Source organism: Homo sapiens, chromosome 1 (genome assembly GCF_000001405.40).
Source record: "Homo sapiens chromosome 1, GRCh38.p14 Primary Assembly".
NCBI lineage: Eukaryota > Metazoa > Chordata > Mammalia > Primates > Hominidae > Homo > Homo sapiens.
The window spans coordinates 28,714,057-28,726,044 of NC_000001.11; the positions used below are offsets into that span (position 1 = coordinate 28,714,057).

An 11,988-nucleotide genomic window follows, 5' to 3' on the forward strand; every position below is an offset into this window, starting at 1 on the left:
TTCTTTTTTTCCATAGACTTGGAACGCCAGTTGGAGGAGCAGAAGAAGCAAGGCCAGGATCACAGGCTGAAATCTCAGACAGTTCAAAATGTGGTACTGATGCCTGTGAGCACTCCTAAGCCTCCAAAAAGGCCCCGGCTCCAGCGGCCAGCCTCCACCACTGTCTTGAGCCCTTCTCCTCCTGTCCAGCAGCCTCAGTTCACAGTCATCTCACCCATCACCATCACCCCAGTGGGTCAGTCATTTTCCATGGGCAATATTCCAGTGGCCACCCTCAGCCAGGGCTCCAGTCCTGTGACTGTCCACACACTGCCTTCTGGCCCTCAGCTCTTCCGCTATGCCACAGTGGTCTCCTCTGCCAAGAGCAGCTCACCAGACACAGTGACCATCCACCCTTCATCTAGCTTGGCGCTGCTGAGCTCTACTGCCATGCAGGATGGGAGTACACTGGGCAACATGACCACCATGGTTAGCCCTGTGGAATTGGTGGCCATGGAGTCCGGCCTAACCTCGGCAATTCAGGCTGTTGAAAGCACCTCAGAGGATGGGCAGACCATCATTGAGATTGATCCAGCCCCGGACCCAGAAGCTGAAGATACTGAGGGCAAAGCAGTCATCTTGGAGACAGAGCTGAGGACTGAGGAGAAAGTTGTGGCTGAGATGGAAGAACACCAGCATCAAGTTCACAATGTGGAGATTGTGGTCTTAGAGGATTAACTGGGGATCTCAGGGCCAGGAGTTATGTTTTGATTTGGAATTTTAATTATTTGTTTATTTTTATCATTGTCCCACTCATTTCCACATAGGACCCTTTTTTAAAAAAAAAAAAACAAAATCTTATTGTTGTAACTGAAAATGTTGGGTTCTTCCCACTCCCTCATTGAAAAATGGACAAAACAAGCTGCCCTTCCAGAAGTTGAGAGTAGGTCATTCAATGTCCTAATCATCTTACACCAAGAAAGTAATTTCTTTTAGGGGAAGTGTCAAGATAACAAGTAACCCTGTCCAGAAAGCCATTTCCAGGCTCGTCTGTGTGTGTAGGCATGTGGTTTTATTCTTGTAAAGATGCATTGACCAAACTCTGGAACACAGATCTGACACTGGAAGGCAACCCACTCGCATGTGGATGCTGAAGGGCACTTTATTTTGTATCCTGAAAAGGGCCTACAGAGGCCAGTACAAAACTCTCAAACAAAAGGAAGTTGACTCTGCTTTGAGGGGAAGGTGGCATGCCAGCACTAGCTTAAAAAGGGAAGTGCTAGCCGGGCGTGGTGGCTCACGCCTGCAATCCCAGCACTTTGGGAGGCCGAGGCGGGTGGATCACGAGGTCAGGAGTTTGAGACCAGCCTGGCCAACATGGTGAAACCCCGTATCTACTAAAAATACGAAAAAAAAATTAGCCGGGTGTGGTGGCGGGAGCCTGTAATCCCAGCTATTCAGGAGGCCAAGGCAGGAGAATCGCTTGAACCTGGGAAGGCAGAGGTTGCAGTGAGCCAAGATCGCACCACTGCACTCCAGCCTGGGCAACAAGAGCGAGACTCCATCTCAAAAAAAAAAAAAAAAAAAAGTGCTTTGGCAAGTATGGGGCAGGGAAATCATCTTACTTCCAGAGGTGCAACTGACGCCTCTGGAGATCTCCAAAAGTTAGTACCGTGAGTGCCATTTTGAGAAGAAGGTGGTAATAAGTGGAAGGTACATCTCCACAGAGCAAGTGGCAGCAGTGGCCTGTGGTTTTGCAGAAATGGAAAGCCAAGGCCGGGTGCGGTGGCTCATGCCTGTAATCCCAGCACTTTGGGAGGCCGAGGTGGGTGAATCACCTGAGGTCAGGAGTTTGAGGCCAGCCTGGCCAACATGGTGAAACCCCGTCTCTACTGAAAATACAAAAAAAAAAAATTAGCTGGGCATGGTGGCACGCGCCTGTAATCCCAGCTACTTGGGAGGCTGAGGCAGGAGAATTGCTTGAACCTGGGAGGCGGAGGTTGCAGTGAGCTGAGATCATGCCATTGCACTCTAGCCTGGGCGAGGAGTGAAACTCCGTCTCAAAAAAAAAGAAAGAAATGGAAAGCCAAGGATGCTGCAGCTGTGCTTTGGGGTTCAAGGTAATAGCTTACCTTGTTCCACACTTTGTCAAAGCACTCACCCTCCTAAGCTAGGACCAGTCCATTCATTTGAAACTGTGCAATGTGATGTAAATGGCTCTGGTTCTTAGACTGTGGCTGTCACAGGGATGGGGCTCCAAGGCCATCATTTTCATTGCATGGCTCCAAGAGCAGGGAGTTCCTCAATGAAACCAGCTGCCTTTTTTGGTGGGGCCATTTTTTTGGCTTTGGAACCCAAAGCAGCCACTCATTTGGTGCTTCCTCTTGTTCTGCCCTCCATCCCTCAACTCTTAATGGCATCTGTCTCCTAGAACCCACGCTCTTCAGCTTTTTGGCTGATTTGGAGAACAGTGACAGGTGCCTGCCTGCCTTCGTCCCCTTTTAGATTCATTTATACCACAGATGTTTCTGTGAGATACTGAGATCATAAAAAGCTTTAGGCTTGGCAGAGAGGACTCAACACCCCCAGGCTTTCCTGAGGCACCAACTAGATGTCTCTTGAGTGAGCTGGACTCCCTGGGAAAGAAGCATTGTCTGCAACATTATATTATAGGAAATGTACCAGGAATGTCAATAATAATGCTTTGGGGGGGGGGGTTATTTTGTTTTGTTTTGTTTTTAATGTTGTTTGTATATTTAGAGCTGGGCCATTTTCCGTGCTGCGATTTCTTCTCTTTGACCCTCTTCAGTGTTTGGGGCAAGAGTGGACCCTGGTTTTTATTTCTTTGATTGCATTGTTTACTGCACTAGGAAAAATATAGAGATACAGGGAAACTACAGACAAATTTAAGGAAAAATAGGTCAAAAAAGAAAGCACACACCTTAAGAGTGGGAGGAATATTTTTATTAAAAACAAAACTTGGACCTGTAGTTTTTTTTTTTCTTTTTTATTTTTAAGAAGGCACCTTTCAGAAGCCATGTTTCTTCCAACAGATGTTGGAAACCCCATCGAGCAAGTAAAAGTTGCATTCTCCATCCCTCAGATGGCTGTATGTAGTCAAAGAAACCCTGTAACATGGTAAGGTTGCTGTTTTTTTTTTTTTTTTCTTTTTGAGATGGAGTCTTGCTCTGTAGCCCAGGCTGGAGTGCAATGGTGTGATCTCAGCTCACTGCAACCTCCGCCTCCTTGGTTCAAGTGATTCTCCTGCCTCAGCCTCCTGAGTAGCTGGGATTACAGGCTCCCACCACCACGCCCGGGTAATTTTTGTATTTTTAGTAGAGACGGGGTTTTGCCATGTTGGCCAGGCTGGTCTTGAACTCCTGACCTCAAGCGATCCGCCCGCCTTGGCCTCCCAAAGTGTTGGGATTACAGGCATGAGCCACCGCACCCAGCCTGAAGGTGACTCTTAAGAATGAGATTTATGAACTCCATACAGTTGTAGATTTCAGTTTTTAAATAGTCTGGGGTTTTATTTTTCTTTTCAAAATATCTAATAGACTTAGCAATCAATTTAGAACAAATATTTGGCCCTTAATATATCTTTAGTGAGGGAAGTAGCTTTTATTTCCTGCTTGTTTAGGTTTTCTGTTGGTACATAAAAACAAAATTGCTGTCTCAGACTGAATCTACTTGAATCTAGGAAGGCACATCTCATCCCTATTGTGGTTTTTAGGGACACTTTTCTCTTTCCCAGAGATGAGAGGACCAATTCAGGACAGAAGAGCCCTCGTGAATACCAACGTGCTAGCTCAGGTTCCCTTCTTTCCTCCATCAGAGCTATTGGTAGGGTTTTAAGGTCGTGTGTGCATCATGCTTCCAATGTCAAGAGATTTCCTCAAACAGCCTGTTTACTAGATGAATTTTCCAGCTGGTGAAATACATGAGCTTTGTTGTTTTCCTGGTCTTCCAATAGCCTGTCATTATTGTTAGATATTATGGCACCTGTTGTTGAATGTAGGTTCCCTTACAGCCCTGGTCTAGATGATCCTAGATGGGGTGAGACATATGCAAGCCATTGGTATGTGCATAAGCAGTTGCAATGAACCTTAGGCTGACTTGGTAGTAGGCATTTGTCTTTCTGTTCATGCATTGAATAAACATTTTTAAGAACCATCTATGTGCCAGGCTTTGTGCTAGGCACTGACAGTAGAGAGATGAAGACATAGTCCTTGCACTTAAGGAATTCATACTCCAGATGTCTGGAGTTAAGAAATACATATTTCAGCCAGGCATGGTGGCTCACACCTAGAATCCCAGCACTTTCAGAAGCTGAGGCAGAATTGCTTGAGGCCAAGAGTTTAAGACTAGCCTGGTCAACATAGCCAGACCCCATCTCTATAAAAAAATGTAAAAATTAGTCAAGTCTTGTGGCTCGCACTTGTAGACACAATTACTCAGGATGCTGAGGCAAGAGGATTTTGCTTGGGCCTAGGAGTTCAAGGCTGTAGTGAGCTATGACTTTGCCACTGTACTCTAGCCCAGGTAACAGGGCAACATCCCCAGCTCAGAAAACCAAAACTACACATTTCATTATAATTGTTTTTTTTTGTAATTTTATGTATTTTATGCATTGAAAAACATTATTTAAGAATTGGTTCATAGGTTTCAGCAGACTGCCAAAGGCACAAACAAGCAGCTCTCCTTTACTGAGGTACTGAAACAGATCCTACTGCGTAAGTGCTGTGTGTGATAGGGCTATTGGCTAGGAGCTGAGAGAACAAAGCATGAAGTGCCTAACCCAGCTTAGCGGTGTAGAGGTGGGGTCAGCAAATAAGGGAGATCTTCCTGGAGAAGGCATATACCTAAGCTGATTTAGGAGAGACCACTTTTGGCTAGGTTTATTGTACTACTTGATTTTCAAGTAATTGGGCTTATTTATTCTAGAGAAAAAGTCTTCAGTCTCTTGCTTCTGCCTGCAAAGCAAGGCAGAGTCAGCAACATGGGCAGTCTCCCCACTGGAGAACGCTGAGTCATGCATGGGCTTCTCCAAGTTTCCATCAGATGGGATCCAGTGTTGAATCCAGTGCAGGACTGGAGTCTAGCTGGCAAAGGGTAAATGCCCCCAAAGCCTTCCTGCCATATGGTTTCCACGAAGGCCTGAGAGTCAGCTGTACAACTGTCTTGTCTTGGCCATGTCCCTGTTTGGTCCCTGCCTTGTTCTCTTCCCTTTCTCAATTTCCAAGCTCCACCCACTCCTAAAAACACCAGTCATTCTGAAGTAAAAAATGGACAATAAACATGAATATTCAAGATTCAAAGCCACTTCATATGAAGGTTCTTTTGCACCTCTGTCCTTATTAGGGAAGGAGGACCAATGTTAATCCAAACATCTGGAAAATTAATATTCAGTTCAGGTGGTTCTGACACCCACTAGTGGTAGCATTTTATCCCATTTCATGAAAGGCATTAAAGGTAAGACTATGGTGGAGAGTGTTGATTATAAAGATAGTAAAAGTCAAGCATGAAATGTGGAATTAGTAGTTGAGTTATAGCATCCAGGTTTTAGTACTATCAGAGAGGTGGAAAGGACAAAGGAAAGGTTGAATTCTGAAAATCGGCATGAGGTTGTGATTCACCTTGGGCAGTTTGAGGAACTCGTCCTCTCTGAGACATAATGTCATACACTAGCCTAGCTCCTGCATTTTGAGACAACTTTCCTAGTACAATTGATCACTTCCCTGGAGGTGCAGCACATCCCTTACTCCAGGTTAGTTCCTCCCTGGGAAATCCTCCCTGGGAAATTTTTGTGTAGTCTGAAATGTGCTGCCATAACAACCAAGGTTGTCAAGGACCTCAAGGGTGTGGTGTAGTTAGATTTGGACTGTTGGCCGGGCACGGTGGCTCACGCCTGTAATCTCAGCACTTTGGGAGGCTGAGGTGGGCGGATCACCTGAGGTCAGGAGTTCGAGACCAACCTGACCAACATGGAGAAACCCTGTCTCTACTAAAAATACAAAATCAGCCAGGCATGGTGGCGCATGCCTGTAATCCCAGCTACTTGGGAGGCTGAGGCAGGAGAATCGCTTGAACCCAGGAGGCGGAGGTTGTGATGAGCCGAGATCGTGCCATTGCAGTCCAGCCTGGGCAATAAGAGTGAAACTGTCTCAAAAAAAAAAAAAAGATTTGGACTCTTTGTCCCTAGAATTTCCATTCTTAGGCAGCCCTATTTGAGCCCTTTCCAGGTTTCGTTCCCAAGTCCTGGAACACCTTTCTTAGCCCTGAGTTAGGCAATTTGACTTCCTCTAGAGGGTTCTACTTGCCTCAGACTCCCCTATCCACACTACATCATCCTTCCTCTCTAGCTCTTTTGGGAACCATGATTTAGTCCCCAAATTCTGCCATGTTAGTATTTTTGCCTTCCTGCCATGGCAGTAACTCTTTCAACTCTTGAGATGATCATCTTTCCCAACTAAAGGAATGCCACCCCCAGGGCCCAAACCTGAGCATACATTCCTAGACCGCAGTCTTCACTAACTACAACAGCCTTGCTGACACCGTTAGTCACCTGAATTGAAGCCCTTTTGCAATGTGCTTGCATAGTGGCGTTAGGCAAGTTCCCCCAAGACACACGGACTCTAAAAACCCATCTTCTACACCTGATTGATTACCCCTGGCCCACGGCCCTAGGCTTAGACATATCTTGTTTTCCTGGGTAACTTACTTCAGCCCAGTATGAGTAACAATACATATACAAAATATCAGCCGGACGTGGTGGCGGGTGCCTGTAGTCCCAGCTACTCGGGAGACTGAGGCAGAAGAATGGCGTGAACCCGGGAGGCGGAGCTTGCAGTGAGCCGAGATCACACTACTGCACTCCAGCCTGGGTGACAGAGTGAGACGCTGCCTCAAAAAAAAAAAAAAATTACATAAACACATGGATTTATTTTTCTAGTTTGAGAACAAGAATGAACAATAGGTTTGGATTGCATATAAGGGTAAACATGAGGCTGAGTTAGGACCCAGAGAGAAAGAGCTTCCTCACTGGGCTTTGTAGGAGGTACTCTTAAGAAAAGCACACATAGAATTTACCTGATTTCAAAATTTACTTTTTTTTTTTTTTTGTGAGGCGGAGTCTGACTCCGTCGCCCAGGCTGGAGTGCAGTGGTGTGATCTCGGCTCACTGCAAGCTCCACCTCCCGGGTTCGCTCATGCCATTCTCCTGCCTCAGCCTCCCAAGTAGGCGGGACTACAGGCGCCCACCACTACGCCCGGCTAATTTTGTTTTTGTATTTTTAGTAGAGACGGAGTTTCACTGTGTTAGCCAGGATGGTCTCAATTTCCTGACCTCGTGATCCGTCCGCCTCGGCCTCCCAAAGTGCTGGGATTACAGGTGTGAGCCACCGCGCCCATCCTCAAAGTTTACTTTAAAAAAAAAAAAAAAAGGGGCCGGGCGCAGTGGCTCACGCCTGTAATCCCAGCACTTTGGGAGGCCGAGGCGGGCGGATCACGAGGTCACGAGATCGAGACCATCCTGGTTAATACGGTGAAACCCCGTCTCTACTAAAAATACAAAAAATTAGTCGGGCATGGTAGCGGGCGCCTGTAGTCCCAGCTACTTGGGAGGCTGAGGCAGGAGAAGGGCGTGAACCTGGGAGGCGGAGCTTGCAGTGAGCCGAGATCGCGCCACTGCCCTCTAGCCTGGGCGAGAGCGAGACTCCGTCTCAAAATAAATAAATAAAATAAAATAAAATAAAATATTTAAAAAGTCTCTGATGTTTTCTTTTTCTTTTTTTTTTCCTTTGTGAGACGGAGTCTTGCTCTGTTGCCGAGGCTGGAGTGCAATGGCGTGATCTCTGCTCACTGCAACCTCCACCTCCCGAGTTCAAGTAATTCTTCTGCCTCAGCCTCCCGAGTAGCTGGGAGTACAGACATGCGCCACCACGCCCGGCTAATTTTTTGTATTTTTAGCAGAGACGGGCTTTCGCCATGTTGGCCGGGATGGCCTTGAATTCCTGGCCTCAAGTGATCAGCCCGCCTCGGCCTCCTAAAGTGCTGGGATTACAGGCATGAGTCACCACGCCCGGCCCTCTGGTGTTTTCTTAAATATGTCTATACATTATAAAGCAAACTGGATGCCCACAGCCATGATTCAGCCTGAAGACTGACTTACATTTTTTTTCTTTTTTTTTTGAGACGGTGTTTCGCTCTTGTTGCCCAGGCTGGAGTGCAATGGCGCGATGGCGGCTCACCGCAACCTCCGCCTCCTGGGTTCAAGCCATTCTCCTGCCTCAGCCTCCCAAGTAGCTGGGATTACAGGCATGCGCCACTATGCTCGGCTAATTTTGTATTTTTTACTAGAGACGGGGTTTCTCCATGTTGGTCAGGCTGGAATTGAACTCCCGATCTCAAGTGATCCTCCCACCTTGGCCTCCCAAAGGGCTGGGATTACAGGCGTTGAGCCACCGCTCCCAGCCTGACCTACATTTTTGTTGTGTTTTTATTTTTTATTGAACATGTATACACGAATGAATACAAATCATAATTCTACAACTTGATAAGGCTAGTCAACACCCATGAAACCAGCTTCTAGATCAGAAGAAATAAATTACCAGCACCGCACCTACCACGATAACCACTACCTACCTCTTTAAAACTATAGCTTGCTTTTGCCTCTTTTTGAGCTCTTTGTGACTGGCTTTCTTCTTCACTCAACATTATTGAGATTAATCCATAAAGTTGTTTGAAGTTGTAGTTGGTTCTTTCTCATTGCTACATAGAACATGTGACTTTGGCCGGGCGCGGTGGCTCACGCCTGTAATCCCAGCACTTTGGGAGGCCGAGACGGGCGGATCACGAGGTCAGGAGATCGAGACCATACTGGCTAACACGGCGAAACCCCGTCTCTACTAAAAATACCAAAAATTAGCTGGGCGTGGTGGCGGGCGCCTGTAGTCCTAGCTACTTAGGAGGCTGAGGCAGGAGAATGGAGTGAACCCGGGAGGCGGAGCTTGCAGTGAGCCAAGATCGCGCCACTGCACTCCAGCCTGGGCGACAGAGCGAGACTCCGTCTCAAAAAAAAAAAAAAAAAAAAAAAAAGAACATGTGACTTTGCCACAAATGATCCTTCCTACTAATGGTGGGTAGTTTCCAGTTCGGACTACTATAATAATGCCTCTATGAACGTTCCTGGGGCCGGGTGTGGTGGCTCATGCTTGTAATCCCAGCACTTTGAGAGGCCCAGTTGGTACCATTGCTTGAGGCCAGAAGTTCGAGACCAGCCTGGGCAACACTGTGAACCCCATCTCTACAAAAAAATACAAAAATTAGCTGGATGCGGTGATGGCATGCCTGTATTCCCAGCTACTCAGAAGGCTGAGATGGGAGGATCACTTGAGCCTGGGAGGTCTAGGCTGCAGTAAGCCATGATTGCACCACCACACTCCAGTCTGGGTGACAGAGTGAGACCCTATCTCAAAAACAAAACAAAACAGCTGGGCGCGGTGGCTCACGCCTGTACTTCTAGCACTTTGGGAGGCCGAGGTGGGCAGATCATGAGGTCAGGAGTTCAAGACCAGCTTGACCAACATGGTGAAACCCTCTCTACTAAAAATACCAAAATTAGCCAGGCGTGGTGGTGTGCACCTGTAATCCCAGCTACTCAGGAGGCTGAGGCAAGAGAATCACTTGAAACTGGGAGGTGGAGGTTGTAGTAAGCCGAGATCGTGCCATTGCACTGCACTCCAGCCTGGGCAACAGAGCAAGACTCCATTTCAAAAAAAAAAAAAAGAATAAAAAAACAAAAAATAAACTACCATCAGAAGGCTTGACAACAGTGGGTTCACATTTCCTTATAGTAACACTTGACTGGAATGACACATGTCTTAGGACATGACATCTTCACAGACCCTGCCACTTCTATTACAAATGCAGACATGCAGACATATTTATTTTGGTAGCCCTTTTTTTTTCTTAAATTCAATAATCTCTTAGAACACGCTTCCCCCAGAAAACTGCAAAGCTTATTTATTTATTTATTTTGAGACAGAGTCTCACTCTATCACCCAGGCTGGAGTACAGTGGCGTGATCTCAGCTCACTGCAACCTCTGAGTAGCTGGGATTACAGGCATGTGCCACCATGCCCAAGTAATTTTTTTTTTGTATTTTTAGTAGAGACAGGGTTTCACCATGTTGGTGAGGCTGGTCTCGAACTCTTGACCTCAGGTAATACACCTGCCTCGGCCTCCCAAAGTGCTGGGATTACAGGCATGAGCCACTGCACCTGGCCTTTGTTTTTTTTTCTTAAATTCAATAATCTCTTAGGACACGCTTCCCCTAGAAAACTGCAAAGCTTATTTCTTTTTTTTTTTTTTTCCTTGAGACAGAGTCTTGCTCTATCGCCGGCTGGAGTGCAGTGGCGCGATCTCAGCTCACTGCAACCTCTGCCTCCTGGGTTCAAATGATTCTCCTGCCTCAGCCTCCTGAGTAGCTGGGATTACAAGCGTGCCACCCTGCCTGGCTAATTTTTTGTATTTTCAGTAGAGATGGGGGTTTCACCATGCTGATCAGGCTGGTCTTGAACTCCTGACCTCGTGATCAAGGCCTCCCAAAGTGCTGGGATAACAGGCGTGAGCCACCACGCCCAACCTCTTTTTTTTTGAGACTGAGTTTTGCTCTTGTTGCCCAGGCTGGAGTGTAATGGCTCGATCTCCACTGCAATGTCCACCTCCCGAGGTTGGAGCAATTCTCCTGCCTTAGCCTTCCGAGTAGCTGGGATTATAGGCGCCCACCACCACGCCTGGCAAATTTTCCATACTTTTTTTTTTAGTAGAGATGGGGTTTCACCATGATGGCCAGGCTAGTCTCAGACCCCGGACCTCAGGTGATCCACCCGCCTTGGCCTCTCAAAGTGCTGGGATTACAGGCGTGAGCCCCTGCACCTGGCCTGCAAAGCTTATTTCTTCATTTTCTTCAAGTATCTGTTCATATGTTACTTTATCAGAGAGGACTTCCTTAATACCCGCCCTATAAAAAATGGTAACCTCCCCCTGCACTATGGTTCTTGTTTTCCTTTATTCTCTTTACTTTGCTTTATTTTTCTCTGTTTTACTTATGTGATGTATGTTTATTTTCTCCCTCCAACTACAATGGAAGCTCTGTGAGATCAAGGACTTTTCTTTTTCTTTTTCTTTTTTTTTTTTGGAGACAATCTTACTCTGTCGCCCAGGCGGGAATGCAGTGGCACAATGGTGGCTCATTCAGCCTTCACCTCCCTATGCTCAGGTGATCCTCCCATCTCAGCAGGCTGAGCCTCCTAAGTAGCTGGGACTATAGGCACTAATTTTTTTTTTTTTTTTTTTTTTTTTTGTATTTTTAGTAGAGACAGAATTTCACCATGTTGGCCAAGCTAGTCTCGAACTCCTGATCTCAGGTGATCCACCTGCCTTGGCCTCCTAAAGTGCTGTAATTATAGGCGTGAGCTACTGCACCTGGCCAAGACTCTTTAATAAATGTGATTGGTATACAACACTTCAAATGTATGTATTGTTTACAGTAGTAAACTATGTTAGTTTCCTCATTGTAAAATGGGTTAAGTAATGCTATCACAAAGGATTATTGTGACTCTTTTTTTTTTTTTTTTTTTTGAGGCAGAGTCTCACTCTGTTGCCCTGGCTGGAGTGCAGTAGCGCAGTCTCGGCTCATTGAAACCTCTGCCTCCTGGGTTCAAGCGATTCTCCTGCCTCTGCCTTCTGAGTAGCTGGGATTACAGGCGCATGCCTATCGTTGGCCAATTTTTTGTATTTTTAGTGGAGATGGGGTTTTGTCATGTTGATCAGGCTGGTCTCAAACTCCTGGTCTCTAGGGATCCACCCACCTTGGCCTCCCAAAGTGCTAGGATTACAGGTGTGAGACACTGAGCCTGGCTAAACAGTCTTCAAAAGTACTAGAGAAGCTTAAGCAGGGCGCGGTGGCTCACACCTGTAATCCCAGCACTTTGGGAGGCCAAGGCG

General features: G+C 46.6%; 1 protein-coding gene across 13 annotated transcripts in view; it reads left to right on the forward strand.

Annotated features, from left to right (window-relative positions):
- Nucleotides 1-5,297, forward strand: part of GMEB1 (glucocorticoid modulatory element binding protein 1) — a 51,125-nt gene extending 45,828 nt beyond the window's left edge. For all 13 annotated transcript variants that reach the window (XM_047438136.1, XM_047438283.1, NM_006582.4 and 10 more), the window contains one exon: nt 17-5,297. In XM_047438136.1, coding sequence (XP_047294092.1) covers nt 17-717 — 701 coding nt within the window. In that variant the 3' untranslated portion in view covers nt 718-5,297. The remainder of the gene's footprint in view (nt 1-16) is intronic.